The sequence below is a fragment of the Homo sapiens genome, chromosome 5, assembly GCF_000001405.40.
Source record: "Homo sapiens chromosome 5, GRCh38.p14 Primary Assembly".
NCBI classification, from domain to species: domain Eukaryota; kingdom Metazoa; phylum Chordata; class Mammalia; order Primates; family Hominidae; genus Homo; species Homo sapiens.
The window spans coordinates 119,329,961-119,357,574 of record NC_000005.10 but is presented as its reverse complement, the minus strand read 5'-3'; the positions used below and the strand labels follow the sequence as shown (position 1 = coordinate 119,357,574).

The window sequence follows — 27,614 nt, the reverse complement described above, 5'->3', positions numbered from 1 at the left end:
ACTTTGGGATACTGTTTTTCCACTTTCTCTCCCACTCTCTCTTTCTCAAAAGACAGGGAAAACACACCTGAGAGAAAACGCCAGCTTAAGTGCTACTTGTAATTCACACAGAAGTTCACCCTTGAGTTCTCTCAGCCTGGTTCCTATTTGCCTTCAACTACCTTTGACTTTGAATAAACTGCTGGTATAAAGACATAGAAAAGAAAAGCATCTATCAGCACACAGCTCCATCAGAACACAGGACACGGCAAGAAAGCATTACTCCCCCCATACTCCACATCAAACTCAAAAACAATGCTCCTGGCTGTCATTTTTCATTCATGCCAGCCCCGTATTTCTATTAAACAAACCTCCTTTTTATTGACTATTTCCCTCACACAGCATAATAAGGTAAACGTGAGCCCACAAAGACTACATGGTGAAACACAAAGCTTTCCTCTGGGAGGGGAATCAGTAAAAGGCAGAAGAGGACAAGTTTCAAGGGCTCTTCCTAACTGGTGTCTACCAAATGGAGAAATGATGGGGCTGCTCCTCTGCCAGAACTGCTGTGATTGACTTGAAATTAACCAGCTTTCCAAGAGACTACATGAAAAGAAAGAGTATTTCACAATCTTGAATAGTCTCCTCTCTTACTCTCTAATTTTCCCCAACCACCCTTACTCCCACCCCCCACTTACAAGAGAACTTTTGTATACATAAAGTTTCAAGGAACAAAGCATACAAACACTCACACACAAATAAACTCCCCAAACTAACACCAGCGTATAATTGTGTTTTGGTTGGAGCTTTTCCAGCCCTGTCACCTGTTCTCTGTTAGGAGTAAATGAAACCCTTTGCTTTTGCGAAGTTAGAAACAGACAAACTCTTCTCAGTTTCAAGCTGCACAAGGACCCCCTCATATCTTTCAGCCCCCTCAAACCCCCAACGAAATGAACTCACTGCTGAAAACCCAGCAATGAAAAAAAATTAATCTATTTCTCAAATACAGATTTTCGCTTCCCCTCACTCAGCTTCCCCTTTTAGCCGGAAACATATAGCGTTTCTAATTTCTCAAACCCCTTTTCAAGGGACCCTCCACTCAGGGCTCTTCCAGGGATCCCGCTTTCAGTCTTTCTGATGCAGGCAGGCAGCCCTTTTCCAAGCACATTTTGCATTCTTGGAGTCCAAGTGGGGCTCTTTCGTTTCCAGAGAAAGCTAAAAAGCAGACTTAGTGGGCTGGCTGAACTAGGTCCGACTTTTCCTCCCCTCCCCTCTGAACGGCTGCGGGGGGAGAAGGGAGCCCAAGATGAGACCCGGGCTCCGCTTATCCAGCTCCGACTTGGCTTCGAAGGCGCAGGGCAAGCGGACAAAGTGCCCACCGCTCACTTTAAAACTCCCATCCTCTTCTACCACTGCCTTCCTCCAAATTCCTCCGCAGAACTTGGCCGGCCCCCAGGAGAAACCAGAATCCTACCTTCCTTGGATTCTTCTGCTTCGGAGTGCATAATGTCAGGATAACCAGCTGCAGGGGCGATTACCGCTCACATGTACTCGGACGAGCCGCAAGTTCGCTCTGCAGCGAAATCCGCACACGACGGAAAATAAAAGGAAGAAAGCCACTAAAATCAAAACCTCCCCGGGGCGGGAGAGCGGGTTCTGGTGCAGGGATTTTCAGGGGGAAAGTTCTGCAAGAGTGACGAATCGCGTGTCAGCTGGGCGGCGGGAGTCCGCCCCCGGAGCCGCGCGCTCGGGCCGGCAGCCGGGCGGAGGCGACCTGGCGGGGCTGGCTCGGCCCGGGCGCACGCAGGTGGGGCACAGGCCCAGACGGCAGCCGACTCTCCCGAGACACAGGGCCGAGAAGAACCGTCGGCAAACGCACCAGACGGGCGGAAAAAAAGGTATAAAAAGAAAAAAAAAGTCTCATCTCAGAGCACACTGTAGTTTTACATAAATAGCAAATGCATATAGGGTAGAACCAATGCCTCTGTATTTTTGGATTACATTTTTTGATGCCCATTTGACTTTGTCTTGGAGTCTTGCAACCCAAAAATTACGGATTTTAAAGCGGCTTTGGTATGTTATTTTTGTAGGAAAGTCGCATGGATATCGTCCATGGGGTTGCAAGGACCAGCTTAAGAGAGCACAATTTCACAAGTCCCAGAGCGGGGCCTTTTGAAGAAAGTGGAGCGGCCTCCACCCTTACCTTTGCACAGCAAAAGCAGACGGGGCTGCTTACTCATTCAGTATAGCCCCGGGCGAGCACTGGTACTCCAAGCACAGCCCGGGCACTCATTGCTGCAGTTACTCCAAAGGGCCTTCCTCAGGGGGAGAGCACGGTTCCCTCCCGGCTACCAGCAAAAACTGGGGATGAATTCCTTCAAAATGCCAAAGGGGAGGTTTTCAGGATTTGAAATGCTGATAGAATAAAGAAGCCGGACAGCCTTCACAACAGATCTCAATTCTGCCCCCGGGTCTGGCCCACAGGCCCCTACAAATTGGCTGAGAGGAAGTCCCCTTAGCTCTGTGGAGCCTTGGTTTTCCCTTCTGCAAAGCGGGGACAAGAGCTGCCACTGATAGGCCTGTCTTACGGAGGTATTTTGTAGAACACTTGTTTTATCGCCAGTCTGAGGCAAAAAGTCCTCAAATAACATATCTGAAAGATCCGCTTGGAAATTATGAGAAAAAAATATACTCTTTTGACAAATTTATTTTCCAGTTCGTTTCTTTTTCTTCGTTTCCGATTTTATATAGGCAAAAACCAATAGAAACACTATGGCAAATTTAGTGAAAAGAACGTACAAAAGACATGGATTTAAGGAGTCTGAACTTAAATCCAGTTCTGCCATCTATCATTTGTATGACCTTATGCAAATTAACCTCTCTGAGCCTCCAGTTCCTCATTTGTAAAATGAAGATAAAAATAGTATTATTTACTTCACAGATTTATGTCTGTATTAAATAAGGTAATATAAGCACAAAGGGATTTGAAAACCATAAGGACTACATAGATTATTACCATTGCACCATTAAAAGTAAATTTTTATAAAACATACTCTTGGGTTTTATTTCAGTATTGACTTTGAACAGAAAAGAGTGCTTATGCTATTCACAAGCAGTGAAGGCTATTATAAATATTAATGTAAGAGGTCTAGATATTAAATCACATCCTACTGCTGAGAGATTCTAACCTGCCTAAGATTCTAACATGTTATCTCAATTTCACTGAAAGAGCAGGATGAAGGGAGGAAGATATAGCCAGCCAGAGAAGGGAGAAGAGGAGAAACATCTGGAAAATATCAGTGTTGCAGAGCCTCCCGGAAACTGACCTCGCCACCGAAAGGGTAACAGACTGCACCCTTCCGAAAGTCACAGTTAACTTCATGGTCCCCTCTGCCACACATCCTGAGTCAGGAGCTGCTGATATGTATACCTTGCACTCAGTAATCTCAGACTTATGGGGAGATACACTGAGATGAGGATGATTCTGAACCCAAAGAAATGCTCCCTCACCAGTCACAAGTGGCTTTTCCTGTCCTGCCCAAGTCAACATTCTGCCCCTCTCTCCCTATACCATCTATCCTTGCCCTTCCTCACTGCAACCCAGATGTCCACAGATAGTCCACAAGAGATCTTAAGGGATCTCACCAGGGCCGTGTGCTACACAAGAGAGCTTCCACTGATCTATAATTGGGGTAAAGCAACACCTTTTCAAGGTGATGATTATGCAAATCCAGACAACCCAAATTTCAGGCCCAATCTGCCTACAGCAGAATTACTTTCACTCTCTTCTTTTAGAAAGTACCCTTACAAGAAATATTTATTAAATGTCATTTTGCAAGTCCAACTGGGGACAAACCACATAAGATATGTTAAAATACATGTCCTTTAATGTGCTACTTGTTTTACAACTGCTGAATGAATAGTTCAAGCGCTCCGTCAGCCTTATAATTCATTTTAGATTCATGTTAGCTTCGTTGATCTTTGAACATTCACCATCGGCCTCAGGAAGCCTGGAGAGAAACTTCTTTTGTATTTAAATGCAAGCAAGCAGTCACCTTGGGGAAGAATGCTCTGTTTTAGCTCAAGAGCAATGAATGCTCAGCTTATTTTAAAAGGCTTTATGTGAATAAGTACATTCCTCAGTCTCCCGTATAACCTCAAAGCCATCTGCTCTGGGCAGGCTGCATTGCCCCATACCCCTACCCTGCAACATGGTGACAAAGGGCAGCTGATTCTCTAGGGCTCCCCTTGGCCTTCTGCTGCTCTCAGATATGTACTAGGTCATTTTGATTTTGCTGTGCTTTTATTCAAAAGGGGATAATTTACTTCTTAGCCCCAGTGAATAATGGTCCAGTACATCATAATGATTTGTTATCTCCTGTAGGTGGGACTTGTTGATTCTTGTATGTTTAAGAAACACCCCAAACATCCTTCACATGGCAACATGTATGGAAGTCATACCAACAAACTATTACCGCCCGCCTGATACAAAATTGCAACTAAGTTAGCAACACTTCTCATTTAATAACAAACTGTACTTAAATTTAAATACTATGTTGAACTCCTGCAAGTGTCTAATAATGGAACTCCCACCTTTTGTGTCAAGATGGAAGAATGAAAATGGTAGCTAAGATTCTGAAGGTTTATTCATTCATTGAGGTATAATCAAATATTTGTGTGTGTCATATGTAAATTGACCCTACTCACCTGGGGCTTATTGACATAATTTTGTTAATTTGACCACAGACCTAAAGAACTCAACTTTCCAAGTCACCTTGGTTCTAAGGAAGGTTTATTAACACCAACTCTCGACTGAACTTTATCACAGGGCAGCAGAAAAATCTCTTTCCAAATTATGCCTTAAATAAAGCTGTTCAAAGAGTTTTTTTTAAAGGCCTGACTTTTAGGCCTTTTGCTCACAGCTCCCCAGATGTCTGTTAAGAAAAGGGGAGATCAGTGAGTTTTCAGACTCACACAAATTAGAAGGCCAGCCGGCAGAACTGGGAAGACAAGGTACCTTTTAATTAGGAGGTATCAAATATTCCACTCACATTCAAGAATGTTATATGTTCTCTGCAGTGAAAAATATGAAGCACCTCTGTAAACTAGTTATGGACCTATAGCCTCTAGTTCGCAAAAACTTCAGGTCACCAAAAATGGTCATTTTTTTTTCTAACCTGCTGAGGCTGAATCTGCTTCCTTCAATTTCACTTTGAGACCTTCTTCAACTTCTCTTGTATCATTTTTGTCTACACCCTTGAAAGCCTTCGAAGGCTTCCGTGATCTATATAAAAAGTTGGCTGTCACTCCTGTTTCCCCATATGCGGGAGAGATCTGTGTCTTGGTCTCACCTGGTTAGGCCTGTAGGCTTTGAGTTCTTCCTATTATCCTCAGACACATTTACATTTACCCTTCCATAACACAAGTAAGCCTAAGTGGGTATCTCTCCATGGCCTCTCCCTGGCCCAGGTTATTTGGCTCTCTTAGCCTTAAGAAAATGGTATTTATGGCCGGGCACAGTGGCTCACCCCTGTAATCCCAGCACTTTGGGAGGCCGAGGCAGGTGGATCACAAGGTCAGGAGTTCGAGACCAGCCTGGCCAAGACAGTGAAATCTCATCTCTACTAAAAATACAAAAATTAACTGAGCACAGTGGCAGGCTCCTGTAATCCCAGCTACTTGTGAGGCTGAGGCAGAAGAATCGCTTGAACCCAGGAGGTGGAGGTTGCAGCAAGCTGAGATCGTGCCACTGCACTCTAGCCTGGGCAACAGAGTGAGACACCATCTCAAAAAAAAAAAGAAAAAAAGAAAAAGAAAAGAAAGAAAAGAAAAAGAAAAAAGAAAATTGTATATACTAGAATTGAAAAAGGGAATGCTAAAATGACAGTGGAGTCATTTATACACTTTTGCAGAAGATCAAGCTCTGTGCCTCAAGTAGCCTTAAGTGCTGAGTACAGATGCTCCTCAACTTAGCGATGGGGCTACATCAGGATAAAACCATCATAAGCTGAAAATATATTTAATACACCTAACATACTCAACACCATAGCTTAGCCTAGCCCACCTAAAATGTGTTCGGAACACTTACATTAGCCTACAGTTAGGCTAAATTATCTAGTACAAAGCCTATTTTATAATAAAATGTTGACTATCTCAGGTAACTTTTTAACACTGCACTGAAAGCAAAAAAAGCAGAATGGTTGTATGGGTGTTCAAAGTATAGTTTCTACTGAATGTGTATCACTTTTAGTACAATACAAATAGAGTAAGGCTGGGCACACTGGCTCATGAATTTAATCCCAGCACTTTGGGAGGCTGAGGTGCAAGGATTGTTTGTGGCCAGAAGTTTGAGACCAGCTTGGACAACATAGAGAGACCCTAACTCTACAAAAAAATTTTTAAAAGGTTAACCGAGTATGGTGGTGCATGCCTGTAGTCCTAGCCACTTGGGAGACTGAGGCAGGAGGATCACTCTTGCCCAGGAGTTCAAGGCTACAGTGAGCTATGATCATACACTGAATTCCAGCCTGGGCAACAGAGTGAGACCCCTCTCTCTCTCTACACACACACACACACACACACACACACACACACACAGAGTGAGACCCCTCTCTCTACACACACACACACACACACACACACAAATACACATAGAGTTAAAAAATTGTAAGTCAGGGACCATCTGCACTGGGATAAGACTGGGGAGGCTGATGTGGGCTGGGGCAGAACCATGTGAGAGGAAGATGCTGAGGATGAGTGTGGAGATGAGGGAAGGAGAAAGCCACTGGTGGCCAGTCCTGGGAGTTTGAAGTTATGGGTAATCCCTCTCCTCAGTCTGCCCAGTGACTTCTCCCATAAATTCTACACATTCACTAATGCTCTGGATGTGAGTGCCTAATTCTGAGAGAATGGGAAGAATTGCTGACATCGGAGATGAGCACACACAGAGAGACAATAATACATCTGGGATGTGCTTGTTTCCTAGGCTTTCTAGGTGTATTTCTCTTCTAAGAAATCTTCCTTGTTAAAAAGCTTTTAGCAGATGATAAAACACAAGCATACTCTCCAAATCAGGTCAGAAAATATTATCTGAACAATTTATGACCCACGGTCCTTCTTTTATAACACAGTCATTTCTCAGCATCTGTGGGAGATTGGTTCCAAGACCCTTGAGGATACCAAAATCCGAAGATGCTCAAGTCTCATATAAAATGGTGAAGTATTTGCATATAACTTACATATATCATCCCATATGCTTTAAATTATCTCTAGATTGCTTATAATTCCTAATACAATGGCTACATAGCACTTCATTCACGTAAATTCAACATAGTAGCGGCACATTCAAGTTTGGCTTTTTGGAACTTAGTGGAATTTTTTTTCCCTCAGAATATTATTGATCTGCTGTTGATTGAATCCACAGATGCCAAATCCATGAATATGGAACGCACAGATATGGAGGGCTGGATGTACTTAGCAGTAATGTCTTGTATTAGGTTTTATTTAGACTCCCAAATTAGCCCCCTTGGGTCATCATACTCATTTTACAGATATGTAATTAAAGAAATGGAGGTTACATGATTTGCTCAAGGTCACAAAACTAAGTAATAATGTTCTTTAGACCACAATGAATGCAATCTAAGCCTCCTGTCTCCTATATCCAGACTTTCTCACTGTATTAAACTGTTCCTATAAAATCCAAGTCCCTTATTTTGCAGAGGAGTAACTCAAAGATTGCTAATATTGGGAGGTCCCCATAGAGTTTATGGCTGGCCATGGTTCTAGCATTGAACCATCGTCAAATCTCTCTGTTCAAATGACTTGATCACAGCTTTAAACTGAAGCCATTCAATTCCTGATATTCAATGCTTTAAATATGCTATAAATTCAATAGCTTCTATTTATTCAGCTGCCTGAAACTATGAATCTTTTTTTTAAATCAAAAGTTCAGTAAGGACCTTAATTAAAAGTTCAGTAAGCCTCATCGGATATGGGCTGCCAGGAGCAAGGAAAAGAACACCAGACTCAATTTGGGAGACCTGGCCCTGATTACTGACACCCGCATCAGCGGAGCAAGCACTGGCTGTGCCTCATTTGCATTAAGATGGGTTTTCTTCCTATTCATTATTTCTTCATTTTTCCTCTAAAAATAGGCAAAGTCATTTAACCTCTCTGTGCTTTTGTTTGCACATCTGTACAATAAGAATGAAGTCACTTATTTAACAGGGTTGTTATAATGATGAAATGAGTAAAGAACATGATGGAACACTGAAAATCATGAGGTTCCCCTCTTCACTTTTCCAAATATAATCATGATTAAGGCCAGATTGTCCCAGATTGTTTAAGAGTGTCTATATGGAGGCCCTAAATGCTGGCTCTGTAAATATTCCAGATAGGTGTGGCAATTTAATGTGTGTGGTCTAGCAATGGAAAAGGAAAACAAAAGGGCTGAATTTCTTTCCTGTGCTCAGGTGAATGGGGTCAAAATGGAAACAGCATGAGAGGGGCCACAGAAGGGATTCACCAGGAAGAAGAGGAAAGGTGGGGCTGAGGTGGCCAGGACAGCACGACATCACATCTGACCAAGGCATCCTCAGCCTTCCTTCAGAAAAGCAGCAGAAGGAAAAAGGTATCAAAAATCACAGTGTGGAACTCAGGCTTGAAAGAAACCTTAGATGTTGTCTATTCTTTTTTTTTTTTTTTTTTTTTTTTTTTGAGATGGAGTTTTGCTTTGGTTGCCTAGTCTAGAGTGCAGTGGTGCAATCTCAGCTCACTGCAACGTCTGCCTCCCAGGTTCAAGCAATTCTCCTGCCTCAATCTCCCGAGTAGCTGAGATTACAGGCATGTGCCACCCTGCCTGGCTAATTTTGTATTTTTAGTAGAGACAAGGTTTCACCATGTTGGCCAGGCTGGTCTTGAACTCCTGACCTCAGGTGATCCACCCACCTCAGCCTCCCAAAGTGCTGGGATTACAAGCGTGAGACTCCGTGCCCAGCCAGAGATTGTTTAATCCTCTACCTGGCTGGTGAAGCAATCTCCTATCACATCACCGGCAACAGACATTCATCCAGAATTGCCTTGACAAACTTTATTACCAGAGACAGCCTCCTTGAAAAAACAACTCCATTTCCATCCTAACCGTTAGAAAGTTCCTGTGTATACTAAACTAAAATTCAAGTCTAAGGGCAGTAATTGTCAAATTATTTCCACTCTAACCACTGCCTTTACTCCTTATGGCAAGGAAATAATTTTGTGATGAGATAAACATAGGTTTTAAACTAAATTTTATTTTCAACAACCTAGTGGAGACCCCTCACATTGCCTGGCTGATGTAGCTGAATTCAGTGTGAGACAGTTATGCAACTTTCCAGTGCTTACCACACATCTGCTATTGATTATCGTGAGCATTCAGAAGCAAGCAGCTCTGCTCAAGACACCCAGTGATAATCTTTCTCCTCAGTGTGCTCACTCCAAGGGGGCAGAAAACAATGCCAAGACAGGTTGAGTAAGGGGCCCTACTTGACTGTATTTGAGCAGTTAAGAGCTTTATTCAAGTTTCTGAACAAAATTTGAAATGTGAAATGCACAAAGAAGACAAATGTAGTACTCCATTTGTGGAATCTGGACCACAGACTCCTGGTCTGAGATCTATTTGAAAGTCTAACCCACTTCTAGTTGCCATAATTTGATTTTGGCATTGAGTTTCTGACATGGGTAGAATCTATTAACAATTGTGCCAACTGATGACTGCTTAGGAGACAGAAAAGGCTGACATAGGCTTGCAGTTGCGAGTAGCCAAGGCTGACACTCAACAGAAAAACTCAGCAGGTGGTGAAAATGTGAACTGAAGCAGAACTTACCCAAACAGGGCTTCAGGAAAAATGGGAGGTTATTTTTGCAGGTAGCAGTGAAAGGCATGCATCAGAAGTTTTTCCTCTTGAATAGGTCAGGTTACAAAATTTAAGTTACTCAGCCTCTCCTTAAAGAAGAGCTGCAGAAATATATACTAGTTATGATTCACAAAGTTGTAGGCATCATGAAAATGAATGCATTTTCTGAGAAACTGCTCACCTGAACAATGTGCTAGCCTACCTAAAAAAGATGATATTAAGTCCATAAATTTCCTAGTACAAACAGGAGATCTAAAATTCACCAACCTTTTCAATCTGAAGTCTGTTTCAACAGACATTTTACTACTGAACTTAGCAAAGCCCCATCATATGCCATTTAATTTTCTCAATTTCAGTGATATATAATCAGCCCATATCAGATAGAAAGAAATGATCTAAATGGGTACATTGGCTACCATTCCCCCTAATGATTTTATGCTGCAGAGTAAGCATGAGAAGGAGCTGGGAATTTGCTGTTCCCTCTTCTCCCTCTAGTCTCTGCATGGACTTTTACACTGTGAGCATCTCACACACTGATAATGAATGTTGTGTTTAAGGCAAGGTATTGTTTCTTAGCAAAATGCCTCAAAGACAAGCTAACTCTAGTATCTGGTCTTAAAGAAATAGCAACCTGTTTCAATGCTAAGGAAACAGTGGCAGTAAGTCTTATACTTAATAGGAGATGGTATATCAGCCTCCAACCTGGTAACTTCCTAAGAGGATTTTTAAAATAATACTGACCCCATACAATTTTCACTTTACACATTACTCGTAGTCTTAACCAAATTGGCATCTTACAATCTCATATGTTACAGTGATGCGGTCAAGAGTTGCTGAAAAAGACATGATTTTAGTTCTGAGGTCCCCAAATTATGTGCCAGTGTACCTCAGGGCACTACAGCAAATTCACAGAGGTGTGCAGGATATTTTGTCTTTGAGGGAAACAAAGCAATACACAACATTTCTCAGATGCTTGCATGAATGACTATTTCAAGCGAATTCACAGTTTAACATATTGTGTTATTTTCCTTTTGATGATGTCATTTCTTTGCAAAGCTAGGTTGTTGGTGGTTGCTGTGATAAAAGGCAAGTATTAGTTGAAATGTGATGTGGAACAGGAAATTAGGGTATTGGGATTCAACCCAATTTCTAAGTTTGAGGAACTGCAATAAGTTTACTGCCTCACAGCTCGAAATTCACCCTTCATTACTCACTATGTGAAGACACAGAAGGGACCTTTACATATTTTTTCTTTTGTTAGCTGGTACCATTCTAAGCTTCATCAGTGGAGAGTACTGTAGAGACATTACAGAAAGAAGCAGTTTTCCTTCCTGGTTCCGGTACACTCTTTCTGCAGGCTGCTGCAAACACGCATGGCTCCTAGAGTATCCACACCTTCTTCAGCAACTGGCTCCTGCTGAACATGATGGTCAGCACCTCCCAGCCTCCAGCAGCTTCCACTGGCATCCCTCTCGGTTGATTTTGCAGCAGAATGCATCCAGTGAAAGACCTCCACATGAATAGCTTTCCTTAGCATCTTAGAGGGTAGATTTCTAGCAAGTTCTGCCAGCATAGCACCCCAGTGACTTCTCTGCCAGCCCAGGAGCCACAGCAGGCCATGACCTCTCCAGCAAGGTCTGGAGCAGAGAGAAGCATGTGTTTGGGTGCTCTATCAGACCCACGGCCCACGGGTAGGGGCTGCTCCTTATATCTGCTATTCCTCTGTTATTTAAAGTTCTCTTTACTTCCTGTTAGCTAGTCCCCATTATAGTGAACTACTTCTCTTTTTCTTAACAGTTTTCTTTTGTATTTTTTAAAAATTGTGGCAAAATACATATAGTATAAAATTTACCATCTTAATAATTTTAAATATACAGTTCAGGAGAATTAAGTACATTCACATTGTTGTACAATCATCACCACTATCCATCTCTAGAACTTTTTTCATCTTGCAAAACTGAAACTCTGTACCCACTGAAGACTAATTCGCCATTCTCTGCTCCTGTCAGCCCCTGGCAACCACCATTCTACTTTTTGTCTCTATAAATTTGACTACTCCAGGTAACTTACATTCAGTGGAATTAAAGAGTATTTGTCTTTTTGTGATGGCTTATCTCACTTAACATCCTCAAGATTCATCCACATGGTAGCAGGTCAGACTTTCCTTCCTTTCTTCCTTTTTAAGGCTGGGTGATATTCCATTGTATGTGTATATCACATTTTGTTTATACATCCTTCTGTAGATGGATACCTGGATTGCTACCACCTTTTGGGTTTTGGTTTACAAATATCTCTTTGAGATGCCTTTTCAATTCTTTTGAGTATATACCCAGAAGTAAAATTGCTAAATCATATGGTAATTCTATTTTTCATTTTTAAAGGAACTGTCATATTGTTTTCCTAGCTAATACTTGTTTATTTTAAACTTTCCTTTAAATTACTGTGTACTTTATATTCTCATTAGACCCTGACCAATATATGCAATGCCCAACAGGTACATACATTCCATTAAGAAATGAAGAGTAACGTAAAAACATTATTTTTAAATATTTCAATATATATGTATTATTTTGTACAACTACAAAGTTATCAATACAGAAATACTAAGTTGTTTGGAACTAAGTACTTAACAAATGAAACTGCTAAGTATTTCTTTTGTCCTAGAAATGGCATGAAAAAAATTACTGAGACCACTAAGGGTGCATGAGCCAAGAACATTTGGAAGGCTCTGCTCTAGCCTACATGTTTCCAGCTGCCATTAGGACCTGTCTGCTTGAATGGTTCCTTAGGCTCGCCCTATCTAGGGGTATCCCTGAAGGCACAGATGGAGCCTTAATATTAACCGTACTTAATATTATATTTCTTTATAAATTTTTCTCACTTAGGCACTGGGGGCTACAAACCTTACAATTATCTTTGACTTATGCTGCTCTGTCTCCCCTTATTTCTAATCTCACATCAAAATGTTTCCTGGATTGGCCTTTTTTTCTCTCCATTCCTGCAGCAGTCAGTAAAGCCATCATCTCTAGTTAGCGTTGCCTAACAGATTTTAAGCTAGTTTCCCTTAAACAAGACAGTGGGTTGAAAATTCAAATGCTCACTGAGGCTAGAAATATGTTAATTCATACCTGCCACACAAGAATTGGCTGCCTCAGTCCTTGCACCCATGAAGGCAACACCAATAGGACAGGCTGTGGGTGAGGCCCCATTCCCAGGATGCCAGCTATTACAGTGTGGATGTTTGTCCCTTCCAAGCCTCATGTTGAAATGTGATGGAGGTGGGGCCTGATAGGAGGTGTTTGGGTCATGGAGGTGGATCCTTAATGAATGGCTTGGTGCCCTCCCCATGGTAACGAGTGAGTCCTTGCTCTATGAGTTCATGCGAGAGCTGGTTCTTTAAAAGAGCCTGGTACCTCCTCCCCTCTCTCTTGCTCCCTCTCTGTGTGACACATCTGCTCCTTCTTCACCTCTGCCATGAGGAAAAACTTCCTGAAGCCTCAACAGAAACTGAGCAGATGCTGGTGCCATGCTTGCATAGCCTGCAGAATCAGGAGCCAAATAAACCTCTTTTCTTTATAAATTACTCAGGTTCTTCTTTTTGGCAATGCAAAACAGACTAATACACCAGCTGAAGTACCAACTTCTCACTCTCAAAGAAAGCAATGGCAATGCAAGTGAGTGTGAATGATGCTACTTGAGGCAAAATCATGAATGTGCGCCCACACACACATAGATATGAGTGGTTTGAAAAGGAATCATTCAGAAATTTTTGACACTTGTTTTCATTAACTGGAAATTACTTGAGACAAACCTTATGATGAATCATGACACCCTGTGTGGTCACACAGCGGGGGCAGCTGCTGCTGGTCTATTTTTTCAGCTGTTATATCCGCTTTTTACCCTACCCAAAGCCATACTCAGGTCCCAACTCCTCTTAAAAGCCTACTGAAGCCCACAGTGGACCTATACTTCTACAGTGAACTTGTGCTATACTTAAAGTTGATAATCTTGATGTTAGTTGTCTTTGAGGCAGCTCCATAAGCTATTTAAAACACAAGATTATACCTTGCATTTGTTTGTTCTCCTTTCTAGAGCATACAATGCATGCTGGACACTTTCAAAGCACTATATAACTAATAAAATAATCATTTAATAATTTCATAATACTGAATTATGATAGCATATAAGAATAATCTTAATCTCCTCTTCCCCAAAAAGTACCTTACAAGAAACTATGTACATAAATATCTGCTATCTTCAAAGAAAGAAAACAAGACAAGAAAATCTGCATGGCATCTGCAGAACCGAGGTTAGTAATTTTCGACAATCTATAAAACTATCAAGTTTACAAAAGTTCTGTCAGAAAAGGAGCCAAGAAAAAAATAAATCTGACAGCTGCAAACCTTCTGTTTTACAACATGCACAGAATGGACGCACTTCCTTCGACATCCTTATAAACAGAGTGCCGAGCAAATGCAAACATCCCCGGTAGAAGTCCAGTGGACTCCAGACTTAATTAATGGATTGTGCTTATCTTTACAGAGGCAACCTTACTAGCCACCTATCAACCCCACCACAATTGCTTTAGGAACTATTAATAAGATGGATTGAACAAAATTCCATTTCAGTTGATGGCATTTCCAGGGCAAGCAAGACACCAGCAGCGGCTGCCCACTGTAGAACAGCAGCAATCTCACCATCCTCGGATTGGAAACTTTGTTTCCTTTAAGTTAAGAACTAACATCCGGCACTGGACCACCTGAATATTTAGACTAATAAATCCCAGATGGGAATTCCAGACACCTCTTTGCTAAAGACATGCAGGCGATAAACATTCTATTAAGCAAGTCTCCTAGGAGTGAGCTTCCCTTCAGAGACTGAAAAAAGTAACGCCAGCCAAAGAAGAGGAAGAGAGGGAGAAAAGAAAGAAAAATGCCCCCAGGTAGAGAATAACCAGTCAGAAGTGAAGGCTGAAGACCAATGGCTATGATGGTTGGGTGACCAATGGAGATTCTTTGAGAAAGATAACTTAGTAACATGACTAGAGATAGCAGCCAAATTGCAAGAGGTTGCAGAATGATCTGGTGTTGAGAAAGCAGAGACAGCACTGGTGGACTATTCATTCAAGAAATTTTCCTGAAGGGAGTAAGTTGAGAGAGTACCCTGAGGAGAAAGCATTATCAAAAAAAAACCCTGCAAATTTAGCACAGCTTTAAGTGGCTTTGAGGAAGGAATATGACATTCCCATAACTCTCCCATTGGCCAACACCAAATACGGGGAAGCAGGGTGACACCCAGCTCTTACAAAAACACATTTGCAAGAATTTTCGTGGACTCTGACATGGGTCTGAATAATGCAAATTTAAAAAGATAAAGTCAAAACCTTCTTCATGTTCAGTGGCTGGTGCTGGTTCCGCAGCTCTAACCTAAAGGGGACAACACAAGGTGCTATCTCTGAGAGGCTACCAAGCCCCAGATTATGCTCTTAGCAGTACAGGAAATACTATCATTAGAAGGGTGATACCTTGGGTTAAACTCTGATTTTCTGTTCTACCATCAGGTTCTTTTAAAAACACTAAACATCCCTTGGAGGAAAAGCCGGTGGATGACTAACAGCTAAGAGTAAAGAATTCACTCATCTCTTTGTTCCTTCCCTTCAGAGATGAGGACTAGAGGGCACCCCAGATAGGAAACAGAGATACAGAAATTAAGGCTGTTACAAGGGTAGGGAGAAGAATGAACACAAACTTGTCCCATTCCCAGTTCTGCCCTGGCCACTAACCCCATGCCTGCCTAAGACCAAGAAGACAAAGAGGACTGAATATAGCCAGCAGACAACTTGCAAAGCAGAAGTGAGAGTTTCAAATGATTAGGGTTCCTTCTCTTCAGTGATGCAAATTTTTTTAAATGATGTAAAATACTCAGAACTGTTTTGATTGAGATTTCCATCTCTACTTCTCTAAACAGATTCAGCCCCTAAAGGCCAGGAACCAAAAAAAAATGACTTCCGTGAAGATATGATTTCTTTTGATGTGCTTCCAATCTGTGGGTGAAAATTTTGGTGGCACTCTTATCCCAGAGTTAGCCAGTCTTCTCATCTAAGGCAAAAGCTGAAATCAAGTATATAAATGAAACTATAAAAGGCTCACATCCATAAATACGGTACCTCTGAGACTGAGCAAACACAGCAGTGATAGTTGAAGTCAGATGGCTTATAGCCCAAGGATCGTAAGCTGGTAGCCTTGGGACCGAACCCACCTCATGTAGTTTTTTGTTTCTTTGTTTGTTTTAAGTTTTTTAACTGAACTTCAATGCCTTTAGATGAGACCTGTTGTTTCTAAATTTACCACAGGTCTCACGACTTGAGATTGTTCACATAGAGCACTATTTACACATTCATATTACTTGCCTGGTTCCTGTGGACATTTGAGTTTGGGACCATTGACTTATATAGACTAACATTAAAAACAAATAAGCAATCTCTCGCTTAGGTGGAGTTCTGGTGCTGTTTCAGAGCAGAGCACTGGAGGGTTATTGAGCAACAGGATCACTAAAAAACGATAAACCACAACAGTGTGCAACACCATTGTAATCAGATTTAAAAAAAAAAAAAAAAAAGCAGGAGACCAAAAACACCAGTGAAGCTTACCAGCCCTGAATAAAAGGTGTCTACGGCTTTGAAACCGCTTTATAACAGAAGTACCTGCCAGGAGTCACTGAGCTTCCTTCATGTGCACCGCTCCCACAATACCCCGACATCTGGATGTCCCAGAACACAAGCCTGGCAGCCAACATCCAATTCTGGTTCGGCAAAGGAAACGACCCCTCTATTCGGTGAACTAAGGCCATAAATGCACTATCTGTGGTATCCAACTAAAAATACTCAACTTGGTGCAATTCAAACCGCCACTCAGCCAGTCCAGCCACTTGGTGGCTATTTAAGACATCTGCAGCACATACCACAGAAACTGTGCCATCACCTGTCTGTTCATATGTCCGGATATGGAGGACCAAAGTCCCCACCCCTACCCCCACCTCAGCTCTCCATGACACTTCCTGCCACACCCTGCCCAGAACCCAAGAATCGGAAAGCTAATGCTCAAAGGAAGGTTTCGAGGTTGTCTTATTCAATCTCCCCATTCCTCAAACTTGTTCACAAATGAGAAAACAGGCCCAGCAAGTTGATATGGTGAGTATCTTAAGAGGAACTATTAATAGAATTAAATCTCCAGGACCTCCATGGTGGCCTCAGGAGCTCAGAGCTCCTTTCTGCAACCAGCCTCCCGGGAGCAGGGCATGCCTTTGGGCACAGTGGTCCTCTGCAGCCTAGCCCAATGTTCCTGAATCGAATTTCTGTGACCCACATGGGCAGTCTAGCTCACTCAAGTTCCTTGTTAGGGTCTGGGTGAAAGCCCCCCTGGTAATAAAGGGTTCCTCTGCTCTGGCTGGCCCCCTGTGCGTATATTTCCACACATTTCATGTGGTGGGGAAGATTGGCTGGCTAGGGACAACGCTGTGGAGTTTGGAATCCGATACTCCAGCCACAGATTTCATCTAAAAGATAAATGGCTACCTCTTCTGCTCCAACTGACTTACCACAAGATGGTGTTTTCTTGTGTCACTGTGACTTTCATTTTCACCAGCCTTCTGAATGTTGCCCCAGACCCTTCCCCTGCTCTAGACAGCCATCCTCCTGGAGCACTCATCTAGAGAAAACTAAATGAAACTCTCTATGACTGATTGCCCCATTTCATTTATTTGTGTGCAGCTTCCAAAGCTTTACATTATCCACAGCCCATTTATTTCCATTAAAATAGATAAAATAATTAATCAAATATGGTGATTAAGGTCATAGTTATGAAATGTAAGGCCATTCTTTGCAGAAACATATGGCCTTATTAAACAGTTTTTAAATACAAATTATATTGGACTTCAGTGTTTTATCGGAGCATGTAATTACCATAGATTGAAGAGCTGTCTATAATTAATTTGCTCTACTTCTTATTCTCATTGTTCAACTTACCAAACCTTCTAGTACCTTGGTGATGCTTTATCGACCTCTGAGAATCCCTTTGTGATCTGCAGTGCTACTGTGGTTCACAAAATCTGTGTTCTTGCTCTCCCTGATAGCATCTGACATTTGTCATCAGGGGTTGGCAATCCCATATACAGGGCCCCATTTACTACATACCATAGCCAGTCACCAAATTAGAGAAACTCAGTTTAAAAAAAAAAAAAAAAAAAAAAACACCACAAGAGGAGACCTGTGTAGTAGACATCGTGGCTGACCCAACAGCATGTCCATTTCTCTCTCCCTGGGTAGCAATCCTGATCATTTTAAATAAATCACAGAAATCCCATACCCCCTTGCCACAGAGTGACGAGTTTAGGCAACCCAAGCCTAAGCCAATCATCACAGCAGATGCCATAGCCAATAAGCTGGTCACTGAGGCATCAGAAATGTGTTGGGGGCTTCTGGAAAAAGTCACTTGCTTCTCTGACACAACTACAAGAAGCCAGTTCTCTCTCTCCTTCTGGACAGTGTATGGTGGATATGAAGTCTAGAATTGCTGTAGAATTTTATCAACATCAGAGACGCCAATTCAGGATGAAGCTCAATCACAGAAGGCAGAAAATGGGGCCTTTTTTTTTTGTTTTAAGAGACAAAGTCTTGCTCTATTTCCAGGCTGAAGTGCAGTAGCACAATCATAGCTCAATGCAGCCTCAAATTCCTGGGCTCAAGACATCCTCCCGCCTAAGCCTCCTGAGTAGCTGGGACTACAGGTACACACCACCATGCCAGGCTAATTCTTTTTTACTTTTTGTATATATAGAGTCTCAGTCTCACGATGTTGCCCAAGCTAGAAAATAGGTTCTTGACATCACTGAACTGCTAAATCAAAACTTTGTTCCAGTTATGTGAGCCAACAAAAAAATCTCTTTTGTATGAACAAGTCTAACTTGGGGTTTCTCTTTCTTGTACAGTAAAAGCCACAACGGATGTAACATCCTGGGCAGCTAAGGAGGAATAGTGCATGAAAATTTCTAATCTTGCTGCTGGCTTTACAACATTCCCAACACCTGAAGGACAGTGAGTGAAGGAGCCCAAGGATGCACAACTGATCAATGCTTTTGCCCATTTCCTCAAGCCTGCTGTCCAACAAAGGCCAGAGGGTAGCCCGAAAGCCTCCTCTCCAGCAGGGCCATGTCTGGCCTGTCTGGTGACTGATAGCAGAGAGCAGAGTCCTAAGGCTGGGGAAAAATGGGTGGATGCTAAGACACCACAGAGGCACAGATGGGGTAGGGGGTCTGTAAGGTAGGACCTGGGTCCCTGATCTTCCTCTCCGACTCACAGCTTGATGCTGCCCTACCCTTCCTGACGGGGCTTCCTGATAATCCCCATGTGAGAATATCCTTGTCATACTGGGGGTGGCTGCCTGCCTGACAGGAGCAAAAAGGACAAGACTTGTAGGGTGTGACTAGGTGCTGAGAAGGTGTGTGTGTGTGTGTGTGTGTGTGTGTGTGTGTGTGTGTGTGTGTCAAAGTTCCAGATTCCAATCTGGAATAAGGAGCCAGGAATGAGGATGTCAGGTCTGCCCTGGGATCTCTCCCAGGAGCTGAAGGTGTGGTGAGGAGCTCAGGGGCACATGTGGTGAAGGGGAGGAACATTATTCAGCAGTTAGCAGGAGAGGGGCAAATCAGCGGAAAGCCCTGGCCTATTAAGGTCTGGCCAGATTTTTGTCTTAGAATGTGCTCAAAGTCCACCTGCGGCTCCGCAGACAGCAAACTGCATTTCTGCACTTCTACTTGGCAGTCTTACAGCTGAGATGCTGAATTCCAACAGAAAGATTTTCTGGAAGCTGGGGAAATCAGTTAGGGTGTTAATGAGGCTTTCTTTGGTGGCAACTTTAACTGAGCACTCTCATTCTCCATCTCCCACATGCAGCAAATGCTGTAATGCTCCAGTTTAGATGGTAAACAGGAACTGGAGAAATGCTTCTTGTCAAGCTTTCTTACGGCCTACTGCTCACGGCAGCCCCGCATTAATATCTGCATTTCTGCATGTACTTTGTTGTCCTATTAGCCTTGGCATTTTTTATTTTATTTTTTTTTCTGGCTGCTAACTTCCAAGCACATGACCCTGAGTTTTGATAACGAAATTACCTCCAGCAAGCACTCATTCTTAGCTTCTCATCAAATCCAGCTCAGATAGCTCCCTGAGGAGCACCACTCTCCTAAAAATAGAAACCAAAAGACCACAGAGGTCTATGCCCTCAGGTTCTAGTGACAGGCAATTTTACTGAAAGGAGAAATGATACCAAAGGAAGCAAATCAATGCTAACCCTAATGGCTCAAGCTGGTGGGATGTCAAGCTCATTTATAGACAACATATACAAATAAACATGAAATCACCTTGGTTGGCAAAAAAGAAATAGTGCTATACAAACAAATGCAAGTGCAAGATATGATGATGAGGTAAATCTCATATAGTCTAGAATGGGAGCTCTGCTATAACAGGAAGGGAAAGAATGAGGCAAGAGAATTCAGGATGAGTTCTCTCCACAAGCAAATATTTCATGTCACTTTGTCCACTGGATACAGGCTAGGAGACAATTAAACAGGAGACAATGCCGATGACAGCACAAAGTCATTTTCTTCTATACTTAGCACTGGCCAGACTTTCATCATAAAGTGATATTAGAGGATTTGGCCTGTGTCCAGAGGACAATGGTCATAAGATCTAAAGGAGATAGAAGGGGAAAAAAAGGCTTGAGCTTTTTCAAAGTAAAACAAGAAGACAATGAGTATTGGGCCAAAATGGTCCATGTTAAGCTGTACTTGGTGGCGAGTTCACATTCTCTCCTCAACTAGTAATCCTGTTTTCAAATTCATTTTAAATAACATTTAATATTCAGTCTTACCAACTTTCAGGGTGAGGGGGTGATACTGAGAATGGGGTGATCAAACTTCTTAGGACTGTAGAAATTTTATATTTATTATATCCAAATAGCTTAAAAATGAATGCAAATAAGAAATAGGGGAGGCTTTATGAGACTGTAGGTTCTTGTGCTTCACAGCTAATGGGCAGAATACCATTGGGAAAACCTGAAGGATTTATCTCCATAGCAAAACAAAGCAAGGCAATATTCAGCAGAGTATTTCTCTGAAATAAGAAGTATAAGAAGTCTAAGGCTTTCTGTGTTTGTTATGAGGCCTCTATAGGTAGACAGAGACACAGCAGGGGAATATCTAAGATGAACCAGGTTGAAACACAGGTGCTGGAGGAGCCCACAGCACTTTTCTTCCTCTCAGACCACTGTACTTGGAAGTCTACAGCTGCATGTGGTTATGTATCCCCCAGGGCAGGCAGGGTGGCCGGAAGAGTGCCAGAGGCAGGAGGCAGGTTTTCATCCCAGCTCTCACACCATGAGGCTGGATGATCAGGGACACCTGCCTTGATTTCTTTGGCCTACGTTGCATTTGTAAATGAGAAGATTGGACTAAATCAAATGGCTTCTCATCTCATGCCCAGTACAAGTCAAATTCATTATAACTGTCCACAAGGTCCCACCATCTAGCCCCTCACCACCTCTCTGACTCATCTCTCCCCCTCCCTTAAGCCTCTGTACTGTTTCTGGAACACATCAGCCCATTCTCACCTCAGGGCCTTTGCAGCCGCTTGCCCTCTGTTTGGAAAGTTCTTCCCCCAGGATATCCACATCTGGCTTCCTCACACTTCTCAGGTGAGTCTAATATCAATCACATTCTCAGTGAGGATTCACTCACAATTGCAACCACAATTACCCACCTCCACCCCCTCACCCCCTGCAACAATCCCTATTTCCCTCTTCAGCTTGAAAATATCTTTTTCTACTTAGCACTCGGTTCTCCACTTATTATATATTTTACTTATTTATTTTGTTGATGTTTATTGCCCACACCTAGAATATCAGCTCTCCAAGAGCAGGGATTTCTATCTGCTTTGTTCACTGCCTTAGTACCTGGAAGGTGCCTGGGACATAATTCAAGAAGTATTTGCTGAATAGATATGTCCATGGATGGCTGGAAGGGAGGGCAGAAGGATTACAGACCTTTACAATGTCTTTGGTCTGGGGTCTGTGGGGTGTGGTGCTTATGGTCAGAGGGCTCTCTCTGCCATTGGGATGGACTCTGTAACCACATGACAAAAACAAGCCAGCCCAGGTGAAACATAAAGGGCCCAGAGCGAGATGCGGTATGCTTTCACTCCACTGCAGAACCTCCCAAGCACTGCTTCCTGCTCGCTCCATACCTTAAGCTGATGGACATTTACACCCAGCATTCTCAGCAGTCATGCCATGGACTCCAGACACTGTCTATGAGAAATTCCTTAAATTAATGTGATTTGGGGAGAGCACTCACCTCCTCTCTCTCGTTCATTTAAAATTCCTAGGCAAAAGAGAAGTACGTTTCCCTATTGCCAGGATATCACACTAGAGTTTATCCTGAATTGGGAAAAGGTGGTGATGCTCCCACAGGCAATTCAGCCAGTTCCACTAGATGGCAACATGGTCAGGATGTGCTGATATCCAAGAGTGAAATTTACCAGGAACAGAGTAGACAAGCTCCTACGCGCCACTCTGCCACTACGGTTCTCAGCTTGGCACGCACAACCTTGCCTCCCCTTCACTTCTAGCCTGGCTATTTTCAACCACGAATTTACAGTTCGTTCTCAAATGGTTCATGCTTACCCTTGAATGCTTATGACTTAATCACTCCAGCCTTGGAAGCTTTATGTACACGTCTTTCTGCCAAAGTACGCTACCTACCCTCCCTTTGGAACTCTACCCAAAACTCACTTCTTCCACAAAATCCTCCCAAGCAAAGCTGGCTCTGATCTCAACTCTATATATGCAATGACATACAGTCACAGACACATAACCATTTTTTTTGAGACGGAGTCTCACTCTGTCACCAGGCTGGAGTGCAGTGGTGCGATTCTCGGCTCACTGAAATCTCCACCTCCCAGGTTCAAGCAATTCTCCTGCCTCAGACTCCCAGGTATACACACACACACACACACACACACACACACACACACGAAAGGATCACATGCACAGCTCTAGGCATCTAGTAGACGAATGTACATTTACTATAAATGATATGCAGGTGACCACATTCCATACAAGAGAAGTCAGGACTCTATGAAATAATATTTATTGGCTGCCAAGGGTTCAATAATGGACCAAAAGATTAGCTATACCAACACCCACCTATGTCTTCCAAATTCTAGTTTTTCCCTAGTATTAAATTTAAGCTCCAAAAAATCTGTTGAGCAGAACAATTTTAAGTAAACCTAAGCAAATATTATATATCAACTTGAACAAAAGTGTATAAATACCAATATAACTTTAAGGGCTATTTAAAACACTCTATTCTAATCCTTGATAACTTTTTCAATTTACTTTAAAAATAAAATTAAGTCTACTTGTGGGAGCATTAAGTATGGCTAAAAACAAACCTAAGGTGTTATTTTAAAAGTACAAAATGCTTTATATGTAAGGTAAACCGTTTTTTTTTTTTTTTGGTTGTTAGAGAAAATGGCAACAGCAATATTCAAACAATTATCCAATAAGAGAATAGAAATAAACAGCCTTGTGTTTACGGGTTGCCCCACGGTGTTACCACTGCTACCAGACCACTGGGAACCAGAGGTGTCCTACAGTTAATAAACGCATGGAAAATGTAAAAGAGAAACTCTGAGTGAAAAAGCCATCCAATCTTTTCAGAGTCCCATCTCTGAAACATTTCAAATCTTTATCTGTTTACAAATGAAACTGTCTACATGCAAACTTTAAATGTCATTTTTCCACCCACAATACTCATACCTCTCCCTGCTTAACACTGGTTCCCCACACCCAGAGCCATAGCAAAACAAAACAAAACAGTGATTTGTTGAACACAGTAGCTCTAAAGCCACGACCAAACATTATTTCCTTGAAGACAGCAATACTATGTTAGTCATCTGAACATTTTACCAGATTTCAACAAAGACATTATATCTAAACATATTCTGAAGGCCGTTTTAACTCACCTAGTTTCAGCATTTTCTCCCCGTGTGCAATCAGAAGGACAACTTCACAGTATCTTGGTAGAGTCATACAGACTTGAGGAATGCATGCAACCACCCTGTTGACGTGTACACTATGGAACCTGCATCACCCTCGGGGAGACTCAGTCCTTCTCAAGAATAATTCAAAATAATTTATACTATTCTTTTGAAAAATCTACCATAAGCTTACCACATAAATGCACAGAAGGCACTGGTCAACTACAGTCACTTTGAAAGTTGTCTTGCTTGTTATTCTGGGAGCTAGGTTTCGTCACTTGTAGTGGAATGCATTAGGTAGCCTTTAATTGTGAGTCCAGAGAGGTCTCCACATTCACAACAGGGATGGACTGGTTGCTGCCTGCACTTGCTCCCTGTAAACTACAACTACATAGAAATGCAAGATTACCTGTGACAAGCAAACAGGAGTATATTCAAAATCAAGCAGAAACAGGAAGTCTAACGTTTCAACATGCTAGAAAATAGAAACAGATACTTAGAAAAAAAAAAAAACTAAAAAAAAGGGAGAGGCCCCATTCACAGATGCCTGAAAAAAAGAAAATAAAAAAAACACCTCATTCCTACCTGTATAAACATGAACGTCTATTAATAATACGTATTGCTCAGAGGTGTTTCTGTTCTCAGGAGAACTAAGAATAGAGTTTGGACAATGTTGCTACTTAAAATCATCAGCCTTTTGCTTTGGAAGAGTATATAAGGTTTTCATAATGAATGTAAGTGTGAGTGTATCCAGGCATACACAATACACACATGTACACATACACATACATGCATTTATACAATCTAATAGTTTCTTTAGGAGCCTGTTTATTTACGTGGGCATTTGGCAGTCATTGCCACCCACAAATCTTTCCTTATCCACTCCCCCAAGTAAGATTCAAGTGTACCACTTCTAAGAAGGCTTTTCTTTGGTGATCCCTATTAGGTATGTATGATCTCAATCTCTTCCTTTAGCCCCTACTGCACCTTGGTTGACCTTTCTTGGTAACACTTTTTGGTATCTATCACAGCTGTCCTTATATTATCTTCAGTTGTTTATCTATCTTACTCTCCCTACATGGTAAGCTTCTTGATTTTATTTCTATACTCTGTAGCAATAACACTCTACCTTGAAACTACCAAGCACCTAGCAAAAAAAGTGGAAGGTGATGGACAAACTCTCCAAGGTCTGGTTCAGAGTCTATTTATGCCACCTTCTGGTTGTGTATACGTGCAAGTTATTTAACACCCCTGAATAATTTTGCACTTCCGTAAGATGAGAATAACATCATCAATGTCACAGAATTGCTATTAAGATTTAACGAGAACCACGTGAAGCAAATAACATATTGCCTGATGCACATAGAGTTCTCAAGCAGTAATGAGCATTATTATTGACCTAAATTAAAATCAAATGCCCAATACTAATTTGGGAAGGAGGCCAAAAGAGATACCAAATCAACATCAATTTACAAACATATCTCTGTATTTCTTATTTTCTTTGGCCTACATTATCATGTGACTAACTCATAGCGATATGACACTTATACCTTAGAAACCATATTTTTGTGTTCTTTTGTGTTATCTCCCCAAATTCTGACTGGCCCTTCATGCCATGAAAACATCAGGGACTAAGGGTCAAAGAAGATGTCAAGAGAAAGCTCTTCCTGGAAGTGCAGGACCCTAAATCACAAGGACTTCGCAGGCTGTGACTCACTGGCAATTCCAAGGGTAAGCTACAAAGAGCAGAAATACTGCATCTAAACAGTGGAACAGGCCTCTCACATTTCCCTAAAATGTGACCTCAGTGGTGGCTGCATGGCTAGGTGGTCACTAGGAACCACTCTTTCCAGTTCTGCTAGGGGAGGATGGGGCAGTGCAGTGAGGCTGCAGGAAGACAAGGCTGGAGGAAGAATCCTGCAGTCCTATGTGAAAACAACTGCCTTCATGGCATCAGGGCCCTTACACATGCTCCAGGCCCAGTCGGGGAGGCACCAGCAAGGTCCCAACACCAGGCAAGGGCAGAGGACATGGTAGCCTCATGTATCCAGTGGGCACCTCTACACCCAGCAGGAAACTCCTGGTTTTGGAGAGAGCTCTCCAAAAACAGGAGAACAAAAAGCAAAGCATCTGCACAGACATTTCCCTAAGACACTCCTTTTCTCTCACTTGAGACTAGAATGCCCAAGATATCCCCGGATCTATTCAAAGTGTGCTGTTTAAACCAGTCCCAGCAGTTAGCATCCTGCTTATCCTACTTGATTTGGGAACAAAGAAGAGTCATCACAGACATAGGCTAGAGAGCAGGGAGATTCTCAAGTAAGTATTTGTGAAGCAGTCAAACCTTACAGAATAGCCTTATGTTTAAAAAAAAAAAAAAAAGCTAATATCTCTTTGTAGATATGACTATGCACAGCACTTCCATGCTTCCCTAGGACTTGTGAATTAAGACACTCTAGGTAGGTTCAGGGATCAACATTGTGATGATTGCCCAATGTGGATGCATCACCCATGCTTCAAGGCAAGGAGGAGAGTGGAGGCAGCCAGGACTTCCAGCCCTAGGAGCCCTGCCTGGTGGCCTAGTGGCTGAAGAATCTGTCCAGGCCTAGCTTCGTGAAAGCAATTTGTGCTCAGGAATATAGTTGGCTCTTGGCCTTTTTCTTGGTGGGCACAACTCTGCAGCAGAAGCGCAGGGCTAATCTGTACCCTAACCCCTAACCCCCAGCCCCTGAGAGTGCAACTGGCATTGGCAGTCATGGAGGTAGCCTGGAGTGTCACAGTAATACCAAATAAGCTGTCATTAGGGAAGTCTGCGGCCACCTTATCTGGTACTTCTTCTCTATCTCTCTGCAAACACATGATGGTGGCCATGAGAAAATGAGATCCTTCCCTTCCGTGTGTGTGTACTCCACGTTATCTCGGCATCTCAGAGCAAGAGACTATCACTTACATCATTTCACTCTCCCCACACCCTGCGAAAGTGGGTGGCAATCCCAGTTTCCAAAGCGAGTGTCAGAGCAGAGAGGTTAAGCAGCATATTCAGCAGGACCCTGCACAATAGGACAGGGCTGAGAGGAGAGGCCATGAGGCCTAACCCCTACCCTCCCAGAACAATCTCTAGACACACATGCTCTCGCTGGCCTAGTTTCATCAACTGCTTATCACATACCCCAAGAAAAATATTTCCTTTATAGCTACCCACATCCTTATCAGAAGCACATTCAACAAAATCATCAAAAGAGTGATGACATTTGTGTCTGCATAAAAAGATACTTTCATTTGTTTATTTCATCTAATTCTACAGCCTCAGACAGAACTGGAAATGTCTACAAAACACCTTGGCCTTTATGCTTTGGCATTCCCAGGACGTTCCCTAATCCCTAGTGCTTAATGCCATGGCTGCCAAGATTAATTTCATTTTCTTTCTGTTCAACCTTCCTCTCTTCCCATCAGTCCTCTCTGTACCCTCCTCGTATGCTGAATCCTGCCCATGCTAACTCTTTCAATGGCGTGCCTAAACCATGGCGCTAATTATAGCTTCCCCCTCCTCTATTCAACTTACTCCTCTTTGTCTCTCTCCTCTTCTTCAAAGAGGAAAGAGTCATTGGTGAAGCAGGGAGGAAGGCAGGCTGAGAAGGAATTATTCCAGGAGACTC

At 42.4% G+C, this 27,614-nt stretch overlaps 1 protein-coding gene and 1 long non-coding RNA gene across 9 annotated transcripts in view, besides 11 other annotated features; one reads left to right on the top strand and one right to left on the bottom strand.

Moving 5' to 3' along the window:
• Positions 1–27,614, bottom strand: part of TNFAIP8 (TNF alpha induced protein 8) — a 130,930-nt gene that overhangs the window by 42,114 nt on the left and 61,202 nt on the right. Inside the window, exons 1-2 of one of the 7 annotated variants that reach the window (NM_001286813.2) lie at positions 2,183–2,802; positions 1,454–1,552 (exon numbers count right to left, since the gene is read on the bottom strand). The exons of 3 other annotated variants lie outside the window; for them this stretch is intronic. In NM_001286813.2, coding sequence (NP_001273742.1) covers positions 1,454–1,484 — 31 coding nt within the window. In that variant the 5' untranslated portion in view covers positions 1,485–1,552; positions 2,183–2,802. Of the gene's footprint in view, positions 1–1,453; positions 1,557–2,182; positions 2,803–23,943; positions 24,401–27,614 lie in introns of those variants that run through there. 3 more of the 7 variants (NM_001286814.1, XM_017009328.2, NM_014350.4) reach the window with 3 other exon arrangements.
• Positions 727–1,021: a silencer, noted in NCBI's record as "tiled region #6110; K562 Repressive non-DNase unmatched - State 23:Low". NCBI's record gives its function as "represses a minimal TATA promoter and a strong SV40 promoter by Sharpr-MPRA in K562 cells {active_cell/tissue: K562}" and the evidence as "EXISTENCE:reporter gene assay evidence [ECO:0000049][PMID:27701403]".
• Positions 870–929: a silencer, noted in NCBI's record as "silent region_16266". NCBI's record gives its function as "represses an Ori minimal core promoter by ATAC-STARR-seq in GM12878 lymphoblastoid cells {active_cell/tissue: GM12878}" and the evidence as "EXISTENCE:reporter gene assay evidence [ECO:0000049][PMID:35858748]".
• Positions 1,650–1,809: a silencer, noted in NCBI's record as "silent region_16265". NCBI's record gives its function as "represses an Ori minimal core promoter by ATAC-STARR-seq in GM12878 lymphoblastoid cells {active_cell/tissue: GM12878}" and the evidence as "EXISTENCE:reporter gene assay evidence [ECO:0000049][PMID:35858748]".
• On the top strand, positions 1,802–17,789 carry LOC102723444 (uncharacterized). 2 transcript variants are annotated; one of them, XR_007058912.1, is made up of 5 exons: positions 1,802–1,877; positions 3,209–3,320; positions 7,110–7,193; positions 8,451–8,608; positions 11,131–17,789. It is a non-coding gene; the product is annotated as an uncharacterized LOC102723444 (long non-coding RNA). The 2 variants fall into 2 exon arrangements; XR_001742858.2 differs by lacking the exon at positions 7,110–7,193.
• Positions 2,460–2,599: an enhancer, noted in NCBI's record as "active region_22978". NCBI's record gives its function as "activates an Ori minimal core promoter by ATAC-STARR-seq in GM12878 lymphoblastoid cells {active_cell/tissue: GM12878}" and the evidence as "EXISTENCE:reporter gene assay evidence [ECO:0000049][PMID:35858748]".
• Positions 16,451–16,500: an enhancer, noted in NCBI's record as "active region_22977". NCBI's record gives its function as "activates an Ori minimal core promoter by ATAC-STARR-seq in GM12878 lymphoblastoid cells {active_cell/tissue: GM12878}" and the evidence as "EXISTENCE:reporter gene assay evidence [ECO:0000049][PMID:35858748]".
• Positions 16,561–16,690: an enhancer, noted in NCBI's record as "active region_22976". NCBI's record gives its function as "activates an Ori minimal core promoter by ATAC-STARR-seq in GM12878 lymphoblastoid cells {active_cell/tissue: GM12878}" and the evidence as "EXISTENCE:reporter gene assay evidence [ECO:0000049][PMID:35858748]".
• Positions 16,951–17,080: an enhancer, noted in NCBI's record as "active region_22975". NCBI's record gives its function as "activates an Ori minimal core promoter by ATAC-STARR-seq in GM12878 lymphoblastoid cells {active_cell/tissue: GM12878}" and the evidence as "EXISTENCE:reporter gene assay evidence [ECO:0000049][PMID:35858748]".
• Positions 17,231–17,370: an enhancer, noted in NCBI's record as "active region_22974". NCBI's record gives its function as "activates an Ori minimal core promoter by ATAC-STARR-seq in GM12878 lymphoblastoid cells {active_cell/tissue: GM12878}" and the evidence as "EXISTENCE:reporter gene assay evidence [ECO:0000049][PMID:35858748]".
• Positions 22,689–22,748: an enhancer, noted in NCBI's record as "active region_22973". NCBI's record gives its function as "activates an Ori minimal core promoter by ATAC-STARR-seq in GM12878 lymphoblastoid cells {active_cell/tissue: GM12878}" and the evidence as "EXISTENCE:reporter gene assay evidence [ECO:0000049][PMID:35858748]".
• Positions 24,126–24,175: an enhancer, noted in NCBI's record as "active region_22972". NCBI's record gives its function as "activates an Ori minimal core promoter by ATAC-STARR-seq in GM12878 lymphoblastoid cells {active_cell/tissue: GM12878}" and the evidence as "EXISTENCE:reporter gene assay evidence [ECO:0000049][PMID:35858748]".
• Positions 24,786–24,835: an enhancer, noted in NCBI's record as "active region_22971". NCBI's record gives its function as "activates an Ori minimal core promoter by ATAC-STARR-seq in GM12878 lymphoblastoid cells {active_cell/tissue: GM12878}" and the evidence as "EXISTENCE:reporter gene assay evidence [ECO:0000049][PMID:35858748]".